This window comes from Homo sapiens, chromosome X, assembly GCF_000001405.40.
Source record: "Homo sapiens chromosome X, GRCh38.p14 Primary Assembly".
In the NCBI taxonomy this organism is placed as follows: Eukaryota; Metazoa; Chordata; class Mammalia; order Primates; family Hominidae; genus Homo; species Homo sapiens.
The window spans coordinates 44,523,306-44,543,479 of record NC_000023.11 but is presented as its reverse complement, the minus strand read 5'-3'; the positions used below and the strand labels follow the sequence as shown (position 1 = coordinate 44,543,479).

At 41.5% G+C, this 20,174-nt stretch overlaps 1 protein-coding gene across 1 annotated transcript, besides 3 other annotated features; it reads left to right on the top strand.

Annotated features, from left to right (window-relative positions):
• Positions 237 to 296: an enhancer, noted in NCBI's record as "active region_29567". NCBI's record gives its function as "activates an Ori minimal core promoter by ATAC-STARR-seq in GM12878 lymphoblastoid cells {active_cell/tissue: GM12878}" and the evidence as "EXISTENCE:reporter gene assay evidence [ECO:0000049][PMID:35858748]".
• Positions 307 to 356: an enhancer, noted in NCBI's record as "active region_29566". NCBI's record gives its function as "activates an Ori minimal core promoter by ATAC-STARR-seq in GM12878 lymphoblastoid cells {active_cell/tissue: GM12878}" and the evidence as "EXISTENCE:reporter gene assay evidence [ECO:0000049][PMID:35858748]".
• Positions 537 to 926: an enhancer, noted in NCBI's record as "active region_29565". NCBI's record gives its function as "activates an Ori minimal core promoter by ATAC-STARR-seq in GM12878 lymphoblastoid cells {active_cell/tissue: GM12878}" and the evidence as "EXISTENCE:reporter gene assay evidence [ECO:0000049][PMID:35858748]".
• Positions 621 to 19,841, top strand: FUNDC1 (FUN14 domain containing 1). Its single transcript, NM_173794.4, has 5 exons — positions 621 to 675; positions 1,379 to 1,535; positions 4,938 to 5,013; positions 16,115 to 16,243; positions 19,205 to 19,841. Exons 1-5 carry the CDS (start codon positions 648 to 650, stop codon positions 19,280 to 19,282), a joined length of 468 nt encoding a protein of 155 aa, NP_776155.1. The 5' UTR covers positions 621 to 647; the 3' UTR covers positions 19,283 to 19,841.

Genomic DNA, 20,174 nt, shown 5'->3' with positions numbered 1-20,174 from the left:
TTAACAGGATTTTTGCTGGTGGCAGAGTGATCAGATATCAAGAGTGGGGTTGAGGAATTCGATCGGATATTGAGGGTGATTCGATATTAAGGGTGGGGGAGTTCTTACTAAACTGACTTAACTGCATTCTTACCACAAATGGACTAGGCAGGTCAAAGACGACCCAAGGAGGAGACCCAGTCAAAAACAGCTCAGAGGAGCCTCCTGACTAAAGTTTGGTCAAGGAGAGAGTCTTTGTCAATACCCAGCTGGTTCTCCCTTTGTACCACCATGTGGCGCCCTTCACCCCATTCCTTCAGCCCTTAAGGCTCTTTTAAAACAAAATAATCAAATTCAAGTTACGGAAATTCTAGGAGGGGCGGTCCCTCCCCCTTCCTAGTTGCGGAAGGCAACGGACTACAAGTCCCCTACGCTCTCGCGGGGCTATGATCCGCCCGGCCCTCCCCACATTCCGGAGTTTCGCGCCTGCGCAGAAGGCAGAAGGTCCTGCGCTGAGAGAAGGGGGCGGAGACAGGACTACGCGCCTGGAGTAGGAGAAGGAGGAAAAAAGAGACCATAGACTTCCATCCTGGCCTAGAGCGGCCCTTAAAGTGCCAGGGAGAGGAGGGCGGGTGGGGACCACTCCAGAATTGGCCGCTGGCGGTATCATGGCGACCCGGAACCCCCCTCCCCAAGGTGAGCGGCCAGGGCCCGAAGTGGTATCTGGGACGCGGCTCACAGCTCTCGACCTTGCTCCTATGGCACCTCTTCCTTCCCCTGCCCTAGGATTCTTCGAGCTCCATTTTTTTTTTAAGGCAGCCCCTTCGAGCACCCCCTCCGAGCTAGACTTTTTCCTCCCCTCTCTGCGGAACTCAAGCGGAGAGCCACCCCCACCCCCAGCACAGCCCTACCTGCCTCCTGCCTTACCTTCACCTCCGGCCCTTCATCTCCCATCTTCAAATGTATTATTTTCTTTTTTTAAACGTCTGGACTCAAGTGATTTCGCTGAGCTCCAGACTAGTTCTCTCAGGAGGACCCCTCCCCACCCCCATTCCTCCCACTGATGAAAATGGACCCTGCTCTGACCTTGACCCTACTAAGGTTTGGAGGTGGGGGTGACCCCTCACTACTGTGTCATTCTGAGTTGGCCCTGGCTTCGTGACCCCAGGCTGGTCCCCGGGCCTTTGGGAAAGCAGATGGGGGTCATTGTTGCAGGGTCCTTTACTCTTGAGGCCCTGGTCTCAAGAATTGAGTTAAATAAAGTCAGTAGTTTCTATGTGGGCATTTTTAGCTGTAGGCCAGAACTAATGAGTTGTAACAGATTTTTAAAAAGATGTATAGAACATTTCTGACTTTTGATTGACTCTACATTTATTTTTTGCATTTTGCTATTTTGAAGACTATGAAAGTGATGACGACTCTTATGAAGTGTTGGATTTAACTGAGTATGCAAGAAGACACCAGTGGTGGAATCGAGTGTTTGGCCACAGTTCGGGACCTATGGTAGAAAAATACTCAGTAGCTACCCAGATTGTAATGGGTGGCGTTACTGGCTGGTGAGAACAACGTCTTTTTCATTAAATTTCATTTGGGGGCCTGACACTGCTGTCCTTTCATACATGGGCAAGAATCACCGTGCACAGGCAGTAGGTCTACACTGTTAATTCCAGAAGAGGCTTTTCTCTGAGTTAAAATTGATGTAATCTACATTCCCAGGCTCCCTGTTGAGTTTTGGCGATCCCCTCCCCCATGCCCACCACTGTTCCTCTTCTCCCTCCTCATCCTTCTTTTGATTCTTTATATAATTTCCCCATTCTCATGTTCAGCAAATGTCGTGGATCTGATTCAGTGATAGTAGATAGGAAGAAATATATGAGTTAATTATATGTAAATTTTTACATTTCATTCAGTGCTAACTGCTGAAAAAACCTAAGAAACTCCCACGGTAGAACTGGCCTCTAGTATTGTCAGCCCTGTACAGAGCAGTGTAAAATGCTCAGTATGAATTATTGGTGATGATACAGATGATTCTGTTTTTTGTGGGCTCGTTCAGATTATGATAACTCTTTGAAAAAGAGCTGTAGAACGTTAATTCTGTGTTTAAAGGTCTGATTGCTTACTTGATAATATTGTGGAGTCCATTAAGAAGTAGTTAATAACCATCAGCCTGACCAGTTAACATTTCAGACCACGTGATAACACAATGGCTACTGTGGATCTAATTCTGTTCTTATAATAAAAAAACTAGCCAGATAACAAGGGGCAGAAACAAATTTGACTGTTTTGAAAATGTTCGTGACTGTAGAGAAATTTTGGAGTTAGTGAGGGTACTTAACTTGTGCATAAGCGTTTTTTCTTAGATTCTTATTTAAATTCATCTTACATAGATTTAATTGAAATATTTACCTGTTTCCACTTGATAAGTATAACGATGAGTTTTTTGATTTGTGTTTTACATGCACCTTGGAATAATGACCCACTCTTCTATGCCTTTTTTTTTGCAAATGCCATTTTATGATAGAAGTACTCATTGTGAAGATTCTGTGGTGCAGAGGTGCGGCATTTATTCATGATATGTACTTACTAGTGCTGCTGCAGGAAAAAAGCCTGCAATTAGAAGAGAGATGCCTGTCAGGGCCTGGTCATTCAGATAATTCTCCACAGGCTGATAGTTCCTCTAGCCCTGTAATTCAGGGTATGGCTCTGCTTAAATAAGCTCACAATTTGGTTCCATGGGTGATTGGTTAATGTCAGTCAGGGCCTAAAGCCCAGTCTTAAAACAGACTCAAAAATAATTGAGAATAGAATTATCAAGTCATTTCATTGTTTCTCCTTGGAGACCAGACTCCTTGTAGATGAAGCCCCATCATTGGCAGAAGTTTGCTCGGAAAGCCTAGAGACAGAGCAGCAGGAGATAGGTTCATTTTAGTGACTGATGCCATCAAGCAATGGATACACATGCTTGTGGAACACAGTCCAAGGGACATTGTGGCTGCTGCCTGCCTTTTCTGTTCCCTTTTCTGAGCCTTTGTTGCTGACATATATGTATATATACATACACACACACACACACACACACACACACAACACACACATTTGGATTACAGCCAGGTGTTGGTCCAGGAGCTGTATAATACAACTCTAATAATTATACAGGCGATTTGTTGCAATGACTATATTCAGTGTAGTAAATTTTTGCAATTTTCTTAGGATGTAAAACTGATGTGATATTATGGTGTATATTAAGGAGGAACAGTTAATAGGCACTAACCTAACAAGTTAGCAATTTAGACCAATTCAAGACATGTATAGGAGGCTGAGGAGATTTTATTTTGCTGTAGGTAGCTGTAGGCTTTTGATCATGACAAAAAATTAAAACTATTAGGATGGGTCCTTGCTAGGAGAGATGGGAGGTGTTGAGACCAGTTAGAGGGCCCTTAAAGTGTTCTGGAAGCAAGGTAATGATGACCTTGAGAGTGGAAAGGAGAAGACAGTCAAATAATGTTTTGGAGATAAAATATATAGAACTGTGGAGGCCAGGTGCGGTGGCTTACACTGGTAATCCCAGCACTTTGGGAGGCCGAGGCGGGTGGATCACCAGAGGTCAGGAGTTCAAGACTAGCCTGGCCAACATTGTGAAACCCCGTCTCTACTAAAAATACAACAATTAGCTGGGTGTGGTGGCGGGCATCTGTAATCCCAGCTATTCAGGAGGCTGAGGCAGGAGAATTGCTTGAACCCGGGAGGCGGAGGTTGCAGTGGGCTGAGATGGCACCAGTGCATTCCAACCTGGGTGACAGAGCGAGCTCCATCTAAAAAATAAATTAATTAATTAAATTAAATAACAGAAATTTATTCTCTCACAGTTCTGGAGGCTAGAAGTCTGAAATCAGGATGTCAACAGGGTTTGTTCCTTCTTGGAGGCTCAGAGGGAGAAATCTGTTTTATGTTTCTCTGCTAGCTTCTGGTGGTTGCCAGCAATCCTTGTCATTCCTTGGCTTGTAGACGTATTACTCCAGTCTCTGCCTCTGTTGTCCTCACATGTCGTCTTCCCTCTGTGTGCGTCCTTATCGGATTAAAGGCCCACCCTGTCCAGTATGATCTCATCTGAACTTATTACATCTGCAGTGACTCTGTTTTCAAATAAGGTCACATTTAGAGGTTTTGGGAAGGATATGAATTTTGAGGGGGACACCATTCAACCCAGTGCAGAAGGCTAGAGTTAGAAATATAGGATTCATTTGCACAGTGTGGATCTGGAATGCTGAAGGGAATGTGAGCTCACTGAAGGAGCGAATTAATGACAAAAGAAGTATGAGCTGACACAGGGTAGATGAGACACAAAAAACATTTAATATAAAAATAGGTAGATATAGATAAGGAGGCCTTTAGAAATGTGGGCTGAAGTATAGTTATTGAGTGGAACAACAGCTGGACCTGAAAGGGTAGGAATGGTAGGAAAGCTTTAGATAGGTAGAGCTAGGAAGAAACCCCTAGAAGCAGGGAGATTAATAGCTTGAGCAAAGGTGATGACCTATTTGGAGGTTAATGGGGTTGGAGCCGAAGGTGGGGGTCAACCAGGTGTATGGACCATCTTGACTGTATTAAGCAAAACATCACTTTTATTACGGGAGGTTTCAGCTTATACAAATGTAGGAGGAATATAATGAACCCCTGAGTACTTGTCGTTATTTTAGTAGCTGCTCTTTTTTTTCTATAAATTCTCCTCCTCTTCTCTCCGTCCCTTATTTTGAAGCAAATTTCAGACATTTTAGATTGTGCATTTTTGACTAGCCTGTATAACTGAGGGGTTTCTGAGAAGGTTTCTGAGCAGGTAAGGGATGTGATCAAAAGAAATGCAAAGACATAAGATTTTATTAGGAAAGCAATGAAAAGTAGAAGAGGGAGAGGGTTTAGTACATAATTGATTGTTTTCATCTTTTGTTATTTGATTAAAGGTGTGCAGGATTTCTGTTCCAGAAAGTTGGAAAACTTGCAGCAACTGCAGTAGGTGGTGGCTTTCTTCTTCTTCAGGTATGTCAGAGCTTTAAGCACTTGCCTTTGCTTTCATAGAAGGTGGAATTTTTCTTTTAGGCATCAGTTTATGGAAGAGCTACAATGAGTTTTGGAAGCTGACTTTTGTCTTGAAAGATAACAATTTAAATACTTCTGAGTTATTAAGCATAGTTTGATCCCAGCTATTAAAAAGACAGCCATTACCGAGCGCATTGGCTCACGCCTGTAATCCCAGCACTTTGGGAGGCAGAGGCAGGCAGATCCCTTGAGGTCAGATGTTCAAGACCAGCCTGGCCAACATGGTGAAATCCCGTCTCTACTGAAAATACAAAAATTAGCTGCCATGGTGGTGCACGCCTGTAGTAGTCCCAGCTACTTGGGAGGCTGAGACAGGAGAATTGCTTGAACCCAGGAAGCGGAGGTTGCAGTGAGCCGAGATCGTGCCATTGCACTCCCGCCTGGGCAACAAGAGCAAAACTCTGTCTCCAAACAAAACAAAACAAAACAAAAATCCATAATCTTATATCTGAGGCAGATAGATTTGAAGTTTTAGTTTTGTTCATATTCTTGTAAGTATAAGATCTAAAAATGCTTTGCCATTAGAGGATGTTTATCAGGGCATCATCTGGCATTCATGTCTGTTTGGCATGTATTTTTTCAAAAATATCATTCCTTGAAGATCAAATATAGTAAATCCAAAAATTGAAAATCTCTACGAATGAATGTGAGCAGCACTTTTAAAGATACAGAGAACTGTCACTTGTACTAGATTTTAAAAATGATTGATGTTCATAGCCACCAGAATCTGAATTCAGCACCTAAGCCATCGATCATGTAATAACTAGTGTAGTTGTAGTACAAGGGGACTAGATTTGTATGTATGAAGCACAGATTTTGAGTTGTTCACTAAACAGCCTTTTAAAAATATATATGTTTTCTTTCTTTTGGTGACATTATTACGAATAATTGCTTATTACTTGTGGTAAGAGGTAAAAAAAATGATTAATACCTAAATTTAGTTCTTTGGATGAATATGCCAGCATTAGTACAGATGATAATTTTACTTAAGCTGATTTTGACTTGGTTTTATATGGAATCAAGAGCATATTTTATTCCATAGCTATTTTGAAGACTCAGTTGTCATTTCTGTTAGTGTAAAAGGGTACTGGACTGAAGCAGAGTTTCCTAAAATGTTCACAGAATGGAGAGAAGTGTATATTTTAATCCACTCTGCATGTCAGTTTTTCAGAAGTCCATTTCAGTTCACTCAATATGCACCATTCAAATCCACATTTTGTCATTGCCACCTCCCACTTTTCCGCATTTAGTACACGTAGTCTTTGAAGTTTTTAAGGCAGAGCAACATAGGACCTATCTGCATCAAACCAGTTTTTCCCACAAATACGACTAACCTTGAAAACTCAGTAGAAGGAAAGTGAAAGGGGAAATAAAGTAACAAATGGCTTTTAGGCTAATTGCCTAATATTCTTTAGGCCCACTTTCATATTTTTATGACCTTTCTTATATTTAAAGGTAAATATTAGTTTATTTAGAACTTAAAGCTTTTCTAGTAACAATATCAAGTGTTTTCCAATAGATATTTATTACACTGCCATCTTAAAGTACACAGTCTCTTCGTTTTAATTTTTTGGAGTTATACATCCTTATAATTCAAAGGGCCAAGTACTTGTGCAAGGCTTGTTACAGATTAGAGTAATCCTCCACCTCTCTCACTACCCCCATTTTTCCATCCCTTGAGACATCCAGTTTGCACTCTTAACTGATTCTTAAGGTAGTAATCTCTTTTTCCCTAAACAAGTTAATTGGACATTTCTTGATCTTTCAGTTTTAGGTGTGAACTATTGGCTTCCCATTATGGAATGGGAAAATTTAGCTGTCATTTATTGACCTGTTTTGTTTTCCCTATACTTCCCCAAATCTCACATACCTGAATGCTTTCTTCCCTCTCCCTCAATCGTCTGAGTGTAGTTACTTCCCTTTTTTCATAATTGTGTTAGATCATTCATTATATGGAGTTCACTGAGATTGATTACTTGGAGTTCACTGAACTTCTTGAGCCTGTGAATTTATGTCTTTAATCATGTTTGGGAAGGTTTTGGCCATTATTTCTACTAGGAAGTTTGGGATTTTTTTTTTTTTTTTTTCGAGACAGAGTCTCGCTCTGTCGCCCAGGCTAGAGTGCAGTGGCGCAATCTTGGCTCACTGCAACTTCCACCTCCCGGATTCAAGTGATTTTCCTGCCTCAGCCTCCCAAGTAGCTGGGATTATAGACTACAGCTGCCTGCCACAGCACCCCGCTAATTTTTGTATTTTTAGTAGAGATGGGGTTTCACCATCTTGGCCAGGCTGGTCTAGAACTCTTGACCTATTGATCCACCCGCCTCGGCCTCCCAAAGTGCTGGGATTACAGGATTACAGGCGTGAGCCACCACGGGCGGCCGGGATTATTTCTTTTCTTCTTCTTTTTTTTTTTTTTTAGACAAGAGTTTTGCTCATGTTGCCTAGGTTGGAGTGCAATGGCACAATCTCGGCTCACTGCAACCTCCGCCTCCTGGGTTCAAGCGATTCTCTTTCCTCAGCCTCCGAAGTAGCTGGGATTACAGGCACCTGCCACCATGCCTGGCTAATTTTTGTATTTTTAGTAGAGATGGGGTTTCACCATGTTGGCCAGGCTGGTCTCGAACTCCTGACCTCAGGCGATCCACCCGCCTTGGCCTCCCAAAGTGCTGGGATTACAGGCGTGAGCCACCGCGCCCAGCCAGGATTCTTTCTTTTTTTTTTTTTTTTTTTTTTTGAGACAGAGTCTTGCTCTGTCACCCAGGCTGGAGTGCAGTGGTGCGATCTCAGCTCACTGCAAGCTCCGCCTCCCAGGGTCACGCCACTCTCCTGCCTCGGCCTCTCAAGTAGCTGGGACAACAGGCGCCCGCCACCAAGCCCGGCTAACTTTTTTGTATTTTTTTGGTAGAGACAGGGTTTTGCTCTGTTAGCCAGGATGATCTCGATCTCCTGACCTCATGATCTGCCCGCCTCGGCCTCCCAAAGTTCTGGGATTACAGGTGTGAGCCACCGCACCTGGCCCAGTATTATTTCTTTAGACAACTACTAGTTGTGTAAATCACCTTTCATTGTCGTATGTATCAAATAGTTCATCAGTTTAACCGTCTGGGCAAACTTGGTCCCAGAGTCATCTGTCCTGTTTGCTTTCTAGGCCTGGTATACGGCTCTCACCCTGGGATCTCTCTTCAATACCTTCTGGATATTCCCTTTTTGTTTTGGGTTGTTTCTTGTATGTTATGTCTTTTGTTTGTTTGTTTGTTTTTTGAGACAGTCTTGCTCTGTTGCCCAGGCTAGAGTGCAGTGGTACAATCTCACTCACTACAAACTCTGCCTCCTGGGCTCAAGGGATCCTCCTGCCTCAGCCTCCCAAGTAGCTGGGATTACAGGCGTGTGCCACATGCCCGCTAATTTTTGTATTTTTGTATAATAGGGAGGTCTTGCTATGTTGCCCAGGCTGGTCTCGAACTCCTGGGCTCAAGCATTCCACCCGCCTTGGCCTCCCAAAGTGTTGGGATTACAGGTGTAAGCCACTGCACCTGGCCTATCCTATGTCTTGATGTATTCTCTTGTTTTGGTGGACACATCCTCCAATAGCTTTCGTAGAAAATGAGAATGGGAACTATAGTTTTTGAGACTTTGCATGTCTGAAAATTTCTTCATTTTATCCTCACATTTGTTTGATAATTTATTAATAGCTGTGTTTAGGTATTGCTCCATTGTCTTCTGACTTCCAGTGTTGCTGTTAAAAGTTTAAAGTAATTCTAATTTCTGAACCTTTACATGTGTGGGTTTTTTTTTTTCCTTTCAGTTAATGCTTATAGGATTTTCTTTTGTCCTCAGTATTCTGATTTTTCCCAGTGATGTGCCTTACTGTGGGCCTATTTTCATCCACTGTGCTGGAAACTCAAGGGGCCCTTTCAGTTTGGGGAAATTTTCTTTATATTTATTTAGTTAATGATATCCTGCTCTTTAATTTTCCCATCTTTTTTTCTGTAGTTCCAGTTATATGGATCTCCTGGACCAGTTGTCTAATTTTTCTTTCTTTATTTATTTTACAGTTTTAGACTTATTTTTAATTTTTTTTAAATAGAGATGAGGTCTTGCTATGTTGCCCAGGCTGGTCTCAAGCAATCCTCCTGCCTTGGCCTCCCAAAATGTTGGGATTACAGGTGTGAGCCACTGACTGCTTGGCCTAATAATTTTTTTTTTTTCTTTCTTAGATTTGGTAGAACACTAATAATCTTTTCAATTTTCCACTTCTATCTTTTTGGTCTATTTTCTGGGAGATTTCTTCAACTTCAACAAGTTTTTTTTGTTGTTTTTGTTTTTTGTTTTTTTTTTGAGACAGAGTCTCACTCTGTTCACCTGGGCTGGAGTGCAGTGGTGCGATCTTGGCTCACTGCAGCCTTGACCTCCCGGGCTCAGGTGATTTCTTCACGCCAGCCTCCCAAGTAGCTGGGACTACAGGCATGCACCACCATGCCTGGCTAATTTTTTGTATTTTTAGTAGAGATGGAGTTTTGCTATGTTGCCCAGGCTGGTCTTGAACTCCTGAGCTCAAGCGATCCACCCACCTCGGTCTCCCAAAGTGCTGGGATTACAAATGTGAGCCACCATGCCCGGCTGTTGTTCTTTTAATGTGACTTTAGCATTCTGTTTCTTGCTTTTCCTTCATGGATGCAGTGAGCAGTATCTTTTTTAAAAATTTTTAATGGCTAATACTTGGATACTATTTTTTTGTTGTTGTTGTTTTGTTGTTTTTTTTTTTTTTTTTTTTTTGAGACGGAGTCTTGCTCTGTCACCCAGGCTGGAGTGCAGTGGCACGATCTCGGCTCACTGCAAGCTCTGCCTCCCGGGTTTGCACCATTCTCCTGCCTCAGCCTCCCGAGTAGCTGGGACTACAGGCGCCTGCCACCACACCCAGCTAATTTTTGTATTTTTAGTAGAGACAGGGTTTCATTGTGTTAGCCAGGATGGTCTCGATCTCCTGACCTCATGATCTGCCTGCCTCGGCCTCCCAAAGTGCTGGGATTGCAGGCGTGAGCCACTGCGCCTGGCCTTGGATACTGTTTTTTTAAGAGATTGGTGGGATGTATTTATTATGTGTGACTTGTCCTCCTCCAACCCATTGTTTCAACCAATGCAATGGTTAGAAGACCGTCCCTTCAATAAGACTTTTAGAAACACATCATATTACTGGAGCACTAACATTCTTGGAAACCATTTTAATTGCATGTCTATAGACCAAGAAGGCTTGTGAGAGATGGTATAGTTGAATGTCTTCTCTAATTCGAAGATAGAAGCTTCTTAGAAAGTGGCAGAGACTGAAAGTTTTCCTTAGATCACCAGATGCTAGTTGGAAGTGACTGCCTTAATAGACTGCAGGTTCAGAGTGTTGATCCAAATAGTCTGTCCTACAAGCAATTCTTAGCATCTACACAGAATGTTCATCTAGCAGTTTATTTTTTCAGCTTTACAAACAACTCTGCAGTGACTAGCCATTTATATACAGCTTTGCACACTTGTCTAAGACAAAGCAAAAATATACATATTTAGGCCAGGCATGGTGGCTCACGCCTGTAATCCCAGCACTTTGGGAGGCCGAGGCGGGCGGATCGCCTGAGGTCAGAAGTTCGAGACAAGCCTGGCCAACAAGGTGAAACCCCATCTCTACTAAAAGTACAAAATTAGCCGGGCATGGTGGTGCATGCCTGTAATCCCAGCTACTCGGGAGGCTGAGGCAGGAGGATCATTTGAACCTGGGAGGCAGAGGTTGCAGTGAGCCGAGATCATGTCATTGCACGCCAGCCTGGGTGACAAAAGCGAAACTCCGTCTCAAAAAAAAAAAATATATATATATATACACACACACACACATATATATATTTAAGCCTCTTGATTGTCAAGTAGCCTTCCAGAAAGTATTCCTACTATCCCCATATGAGAGGATCCACCAGCTTTTCCCCCTTTTCATACTGTACTCTTGGGGTTCCTTTTTTTTTTTTTTTTTTCTGAGACAGAGTTTCACTCTGTTGCCCAGGCTGGAGTGCAAGTGGTGTGATCTTGGCTTATGGCAGCCTCAGTCTCCCAGGTTCAAGTGTTTCTCGTGCCTTAGCCTCCCGAGTAGCTGCAATTACAGGCGCACACCACTGTCTGGCTAATTTTTGTATTTTCCGTAGAGATGGGGTTTCACCATGTTGGCCAGGCTGGTCTTGAACTCTTGGCCTCAAGTGATCCGCCTTCCTCAGCCTCCCAAAGTGCTGGGATTACAGGCATGAGCCACCGTGCCGGGCCTCATACTGTACTCTTTGGAAGGGAGTCACTGTGTATAGCCCACATTTCAGGAGTGTAATTATGCTCCACCTTTCTGAAGGCAGAGTAGCTACATAAATTATTTAGAAATAGTCTGTTGGAAGGTTTGTCTCTTATTTATTCAGTCATTTATTTATATCAATATGGACTCATGGATATTTATTTTATACTTTGGTTTATAATCTAATGCTCTTTTATTGCTCAAATTTTACCAGCTTTGGCCATTAAGAGCTCTTTCAGTTGTGCATTGTCTTTTTTAAGCTCTCTGAGGACATAAATGATCAAGCTTCTGTGTGTGTGTGTGTGTGTGTGTGTGTGTGTGTGTGTGTTTTAAGCTTCTTCCTACCAAGTCCCTGTTTGTCTAAGGTGTTTTGTTCCCCCTCCCCAACCTTTTTCCTGCTTGTTTATTTTGGTTTCTAGTTTTCAAGTTAAAGGCCTTCCTCCAAGTCTGATGATCCTTGGTTGTCTGCTCATATTTAAGAATTGAGCACTAAAAGTTGATGGAAAGCTCTAAACAATATGGACATGTGGATTGGGCTTTCCCTTCTCTGGGAAATCTGACCAGTCCAAGAAAAATGATCTAAAGATAAGGAGTTGGGGGTGGGCAGAATTTCCCGCAGTGAAACAGCCCAATTAGATCAGCATATGGTGAAGTTCACAAGCAAAAAGCCCCATCTACCTGTTTAGAGCTTTCTGGCCAACATGAATCTTCATCTGAAAGCCGTGTGTGTGTGTGTGTGTGTGTGTGTGTGTGTGTGTGTGTGTGTGTGTGTGTGTGTCTGGCCAACATGAATCTTCATCTGAAAGCCGTGTGTGTGTGTGTGTGTGTGTGTGTGTGTGTGTGTGTTTTTCTGGAAACAGTCTCACTCTCTGGCCCAGGCTGGAGTGCAGTGGCGTGACCATGGGTCACTGCAGCCTTGAACTCCTGAGGCTCAAGCGATCCTGCCACTTCAGCCTCTCAAGTAGCTGGGACTACAGGTGCATGCCACCATGTCTGGCTAATTTTTGTATTTTTTGTAGAGACAGAATTTCGCCGTATAGCCCAGGCTGGTCTCAAACTCCTGGGCTCAAGCAGTCTGCCTGCTTCACCCTCCCAAAGTGTTGGGATTATAGGCGTGAGCAACCGAGCCTGGCCTCTGGCATTATTATTTATTTATTTATTTATTTTTGAGACAGTCTCCCTCTTTCACCCAGGCTGGAATGCAGTGGCGAGATCTCAGCTCACTGCAGCCTCCGCCTCCTGGGTTCAAGAACCGCCTCCTGATTCTTGTAACTCAGCCTCCTGAGTAGCTGTGATTAGGTGTGAGCCACCACACCCAGCTAGTTTTTTGTGTTTTTAGTTTCACTGACATAGTTTCACCATGTTGACATGGCTGATCTCGAACTCCTGGCCTCAAGTGATCTGCCCACCTTGGCCTCCCAAAGTGCTAGGAGTACAGGGGTGAGCCACCACGCCCAGCCCCTCTGTCATCATTATTATTATTATTTTGAGACAGTGTCTCACTCTGTTGCCCAGGCTGGAGTGCAGTGGCGTGATATCGGCTCACTGTAGTCTCTGCCTCCTGGGTTCCAGTGATTCTTTTGCCTCAGCCTTCCAAGTAGCTGGGATTACAGGCATGCGCTACTATGCCCGGCTAATTTTTGTATTTTTAGTAGAGATAGGGTTTCACCATGTTGGCCAGGCTGGTCTTGAACTCCTGGCATTAGGTAATCCGCCTGCCTCGGCCTCCCAAAGTGCTAACATTACAGGCGTGAGCCACGGAGCCCGGCCTGGAATTATTTTATTTTATTTATTTATTTTTAACTTGGAAGCTTTTATTCTAATAAAAGTACCTTATGTAATCCCATTAAATATTTTAGTGTTATAGGAAGTCAAATGTTCAAAAAGCAGTCATCACTGCCCCATTCCCTCCCCAGTCTGTTGGCTTGCATTTCCTTGTAGTTGCAGATGAATTTTGTGTGGACAAGACTGAATTGGGTCCTGTATGTATTGGTTGGTTAAGTTGGTTGTACCTGAACCCCACTTGGGGCAGATTGCTTGTCCTTGGTCATCTCTGTACTGGAGCAGGGTGCTCAATTTAGACTGGTATTCTTCGGTTTGATCAGAAGTGTACTTCTCAGCTGGGTGCCGTGGCTCACTGTAATCCCAGCACTTTGGGAGACCAAGGCAGGAGGATGGCTTGAGGCCAAGAGTCCAAGACCAGCCTGGGCAACATAGTGAGACTTCATCTCTCTCTCTCTTTTTTAAGGCATTAATATCTTTAGCATCTCAAGGTTTTTCATTTTTCCTGCAAGGGAACAGATTCTCAAGGGAATTTGTTCAGTGATGGTAGATCACTCCAGCATCAAAGATCATTCTCTTGTTAGTAGACATGCTAGGTTGGGTCCTTTGGGATAATCTAGCTCATCCATTTTGTTGCTGAGAGTCATTATTTGAGCCAGGTTGGTTAATACAGCTTTTGAGATTTAGTCTTTATTCATTGTCTTTGTTATCATTTATTTACTATGTCTCATTCATCTGGCATTAGTTGGGACTCTAGGGATATAGAGATTCACAGCCCATATGGTCAGTGCTGAGCTAGAAGGGTGTGTTTAGTGCTGAGAGAGCAGAGGGAAGACGCTCTGTCTGCTTGGAGGTGTTAGGGAAGTCTTCTTCCAAAGAGGCGTTAGTATCTTTAGCATCTCAAGGTTTTTCATTTTCCTTGCAACTGTTTGACATTTTCCCCCAAAACGTAGAGAATTCTTTAAATTATACAAAATCTTTATCTCAGATAACACTGGGTTTACTAATTATCAGTGACAAATGGCTATGTAAAAATATTTTGTGTATAGAATGCTGTTTGTGAGAATTTGTTTAATCTGTCTCATTAAAATGGTTTCCTTTATTCATTTGCTGGGGATTGGGGGGTGGATAAGGGGTCTCACCCAGGGAATATAGTTAAGGTTTGTTTTTTGTTTTTTTAATTTCACTTCCAATTTAACTCATGGCATGAAGATTAGCTTTTTAAAAAAAACTTTGTAACTTAAAATGTTAAGTCTTGAAAATGACAGTTGAATTGGGAGTTGCTGATGAGTGGTGGTATAGATAATATTTTTGTTCTGCCGGGCGCGGTGGCTCATGCCTGTAATCCCAGCACTTTGGGAGGCCGAGGCGGGTGGATCACGAGGTCAGGAGATCGAGACTATCCTGGCTAACACGGTGAAACCCCTTCTCTACTAAAAAACAAAAAATCAGCCGGGCGTGGTGGCAAGTGCCTGTAGTCCCAGCTACTCGGGAGGCTGAGACAGGAGAATGGCATAAACCCGGGAGGCGGAGCTTGCGGTGAGCAGAGATCACGCCACTGCACTCCAGCCTGGGCGACAGAGCGAGACTCCGTCTCAAAAAACAAAAATAAAAAAAATTTTGTTCTAACCAAAAAATAAAGCCATATACATACATAAAATATTTGTACTTCTCACAAGCTTTGGATTAAGAAGAAATGTTAAGATTCAGCAAAAAGTAAAATTCTGCAAAAGCTTCAAAGTAATCAACTATTTTGATTACTTAGTGCAAGCCAATAAGAAGTCTTTTCAATTTATATGTAGAATTTTCCTAAGGTTCATCATCACCTCCATGCCTGTGACTCAAATTGCTGTATCAAGTACTAACAGAAAAAGCCTTCACTTGCCATTTGATTTGATCACCACTGTTTTGCTGAGGCTGGAGTTTGAAGTGATAGTAGATGAATAAATACAAGAAGAAATGCAGATAAACAAATTCTTCTATGGAGTCATTCACAGACAAAATAGAACCTAAGATTTCTAGTCAGCCTGTTTATGCAAAATCAGATATTTTTATTATTTAAAGTATTTTCTGTGTGGCTAAAAGTCAGTGTGTTCATTCAGGGTGCAAATGGCAAAAGAAAAGTGATGCACTAAAAAATTACAAAGAAAGCATAAGCTTGACAGAAGTGATTTATAATGGTATATATGGCTATTTTATTATTTGGAGGCACTGAGTTACTGGACTGGCTTGCACACACACTGTTGTTCCTGTTCAGATATTGCAGTCTCTCAGTAGTACCATATGATAATTTTTCTTATGATAGGCATTTAGCTATAGTTTTATTAAAAGGATTTATGGCATGAAACTTGTGTAGAGTGCAGTTTGTTTTATATTCTACTTTCAAAAGCAATTACCAGAAAGTATTCTTAATTTAAGTAAAGAGAGCTATTTAAATACTTACCAGGCTACTTAAATTTCTTTAGTGATCTAATAACTGATTGGCTTATGATCCCTTATAATTAAAGATCTATTTAATTAAAAAGTATTTTTAAATTAGCTATATAATCTAGATAATCTCTGTATCTTTTTAACTAATTCCCTATTCCAAAAGGTGTGACAGAATGATAGTATAGTTAAAAGACAGTTTTTGGAATCATTTTCCCATCATGTACTAAACACTGTTCATCACATCTAAATAATTAGTTACTTACTTATGCTTAATATCTGTTTTCCCTAACAGACCTGAAGCTCTCTGAGGATAGGGGCTTATGTCTCCCTTATTCAGTACTTAGCATAGGGTAGGCACTAGTGTCTGTTAAATGAATAAACTAGTGGAGAAAAAGCAATTTCTTAGCTATAAGTTTTATAGGTTACTAGAACTCTTAAGTGTTTATATATTCTTGGCTATTATAGTCAGCAACCTAGTTGGTATAGTATTGATAATTTTTATTATATTTTTTGCAGATTGCTAGTCATAGTGGCTATGTGCAGATTGACTGGAAGAGAGTTGAAAAAGATGTAAATAAAGCAAAAAGACAGATTAAGAAACGAGCGAACAAAGCAGCACCTGAAATCAACAATTTAATTGAAGAAGTAAGATGATATATAATTTTGACTTTTTTTTTTTTTTTCCTTTTTTTGGTTAATGGGTATCCCTTAGCAGAAAATGTGACCGGGGGGGATTACTGTCTTTTTTAAAAATGGTGTTTTTGGTTATATATCTAGAGTGTTAAGTAAAATTTGAGATCACACCACTACTTAAATCAGTCATTATTTTTTTTTTTTTGGTGGTTATCATAGATTCCCCTGCATATCTCTAGCTCACTTTGATCTTGTTGTAAAAACTAAGAACATTCTTTTCAACATATTTCCTCTGCCTTTATAAATGAACATGTACAGGTGTAGTAAAACTTAAAAGTACACATTTTTTTTCTTGAGGATAGTTTGAAAATATGTTTTTTTAATATGATTAATATATTTTATTAATGTTTTCAGGTGTAATTTGACCCTTTACTTTTGTACTGTTTAAAATGGAATTGAATACTTCCTTGCCTTTGTTTTTGTTTTATCCTTTTACCTCCCTCAACTTTTTAGTTTGAAAAAATTCAAACCAGTTAAAAAGTTGAAAGACAAATATAGTGAATATCTCAATACCCTTCATCTATTCACCAAATTGTTCATGATTTGCCGTGTTTACTTTATCTGTGTGTGGGTGACACACACAGATAATTTTTTTTCCAAAGTATTTAAGATGTCATAACTTTTCATCCCTAAATACTTCAGTATGTATCTTCTAAGAGTACAGATATTCTCTTATACAACTATGAATACGCCCCCCCCCCTTTTTTATTTTTTTACTGTGTGGGAACTGCCACTTCAGAAACTTTTTTTTTCTTTTTTGAGACGGGTTCTCGCCCTGTAGCCCAGGCTGGAGTGCAGTGGCGTAATCTTGGCTCACTGCAACCTTCGCCTCTCGGGTTCAAGCGATTCTCCTGCCCCAGCCTCCTGAGTAGCTGGAATTACAGGCACGCGCCACCTCTCCCAGCTAATTTTTTGTATCTTTAGTAGAGACAGGGTTTCACCATGTTGGCCAGGCTGGTCTCGAACTCCTGACCTCATGATCCACCCGCCTCAGTCTCCCGAAGTGCTGGGATTAGGGGCGTGAGCCACCAGGCCCGGCCAACTGTTTTTTTTTGTTTTTTTTTTTTGTTTTTTTTGAGACAGGTCTCATTCTGTCTCGCTGTGTTGCTTAGGCTGGAATGCAGTGGCATCATCATGGCTCACTACAGCCTTGACTCCCCTGGCTCAAATGGTCCTCCCACCTCAGCCTCCCAAGTAGCTGGGACTACAGGTGTGCATGATGCCTCGGCCTCCCAAAGTGCCAGGATCACAGGCGTGAGCCCCCATGCCTGGCCAAATGCCATTATTAATAAAAAAAAAATGTAACATGAGATAATAGTATTTCCTTTCTTTGTTAATTTTTTTTAGACAGGGTCTTGCTCTGTCACCCAGGCTGGAGTGCAATGGTGTGATCACAGCTCACTGCAGCCTCGAGCACCTGGGCTCAAGTGATCCTCCCACCTCAGCCTCTCAAGTAGCTGGGACTACAGGTGCATGCCCAGCTAATTTTTATATTTTTGTAGAGATGAGGTTTTGCCATGTTGCCAGGCTGGTCTCAAACTCCTGGGCTCAAGCAGCCTGCCTGCCTCAGCCTCCCAATGTGCTGGGCATTACAGGTTTGAGCCACCACACCCAGCCAGTATTTTCTAATATGCAGTTCATATTAATATTTTTCTACAAAATATCTTGTGTGGCTTTTTTTTTCCCAATTAAGAATTATATGCCAGGTACAGTAGTTCACTCCTGTAATCCCAGCACTTTGGGAGGCTGAGGCAGGAGGATCTCTTGAGCCTAGGAGTTTGAGATCAGCCTGGGTAAGAGAGAGAGACCTTGTCTCTACAGAAAATACAAAAATTAGAACGGTGGCATGCACCTATAGTCTCAGCTACTTGGGAGGCTGAGGTGGGAGGATTGCTTGAGGCTGTGAGACGTGATTGTGCCACTGCACTCCAGCCTGGCTGACAGAATGAGACCCTGTTCCCACTCACCCCCCCAAAAAAAATTATATATTGTTTTCGGTTATCATGTCTATGAAGTCTCATTTAGTCTTAAACAGTCCTTTCATCTGTTAATTTTATTCCCCCATCTTTCATGGCACTGACATTTTTGACACCTCTAGGCAGAATATCCCACAGTCTGGCTTTGTCTGATGGCTTCCTCATGATTTTATTCTGGTTAAACATTTTACCAAAGTAATTTGTTTTGGTTTTGATCCTGTACATTTTTTTTTCTGTTGGCTAAATGGACTATTAATAAATACCATTGTGCCTGCTGTGACAATTTATTAAATAATCTGTGTTAATAACTTGATGATGGGCCATTCATCTCTACCTTACAGGTAGATTTCTTTTTACTTGTGAGATCATTGCTGCCCATATACTTATTATCTCAATAGCCAAGGAGCTTACTGGGCATGACTGTGTTCTCTAGTCTCCTTCAATTAGTCAGGGACATTTCTGGGATCTTGCATGCTATTTGATACCTGCAGTAGTAGGTGCACAGGAATTTTTGCTGAATATTTATTGAATTGAGGAAAATAGCTGAAACTGCTACTTGGCTCTGGATTCAGTAAGAATTTTTTTTTGTGCATCTTTTTATTGTGGTAAAATAGTTATACAAAAATTTTACCAGTTTAACCATTTTTAAGCATACAGTTCAGTGGCATTAAGCATATTCACATTTTTCTGCAATCATTACCACTATTTCCAGAACTTTTTCATCATCCCAAACTCTGTGCCCATTAAACATTAATTTTCAGTTTCCCTCTCTCCCCAGCTCTTAATGATCTGTATTCTGCTTTCTGACTACTCATACGAGCAGAATCATGTAATATCTGTTCTTTTTTGTCTACCTTATTTCACTTTGCATAATGTTTTCAAGGTTCATCCCTGTTGTAGCATAATTAAGAGTATTTTTGTTTAAACTTTGTTTCAGGCAACAGAATTTATCAAGCAGAACATTGTGATATCCAGTGGATTTGTGGGAGGCTTTTTGCTCGGACTTGCATCTTAAGGACATGAATATTCTCCCATAACGGATTCAACTATGAGAAGAGAAGTGGCAGCAATAAGGCAGTCTCTCAAAAGTCATACTGCCAGAGTCTCTAGGGCAAGGAGAAACAACTAGCTGGACAATACTCAATTCACAACTTAGCATTTTGCCATCTGAAGCTTGGCAAACTAGTATCTGCTGTAAAACAACCTATATGGTATGTGAACCGTAGTATTCCTGAGCAAAACGTGGCTTTCATCGCTTTGTAAAAATTTGCATCTGTTTAGAAACTAGCCTATAAAATATCACCATTGGATGTAGATATGGAGAGAAAAGAAATATGTTGGGTTTATTGCTTAGCGAAATATTCTCTTTTTATTTAAATAAAATGTTCTTCATTGTGTTTTATGGTATGTGTCCATAATTTAAAATTCATGTTATAGTTTCAGTATTAAGGCTGACTTTTTTTTTTTAAGATATGTTTGCAATAAGTTAAAAAACTGTAATACCCTTTTGTGGAAAGCTTTAGAAATGATATAATTATTAAAGATATTAAACAGACTCTGCTGATGTAATATGATACCAATTTTTATGTTGTTTTTTTTCCTGGAGTTATTACTTTGTTATAAGTGTAATAATTGTACATTTCTTTTTTGTTTTTTTTTTTTTTTTGAGACAGAGTCTTGCTCTGTCACCCAGGCTTGGAGTGCAGTGGCATGATCTTGGCTCACTGCATCCTCCGCCTCCCAGGTTCAAGCGATTCTTGTGCCTCAGCCTCCTGAGTAGCTGGGAGTACAGGCACGTACCACCACACTTGGCTAATTTTTGTATTTTTAGTAGAGACGAGGTTTCGCCATGTTGGCCAGGCTGGTCTCGAACCCTTGACCTCAGGTGATCCGCCCGCCTTGGCCAC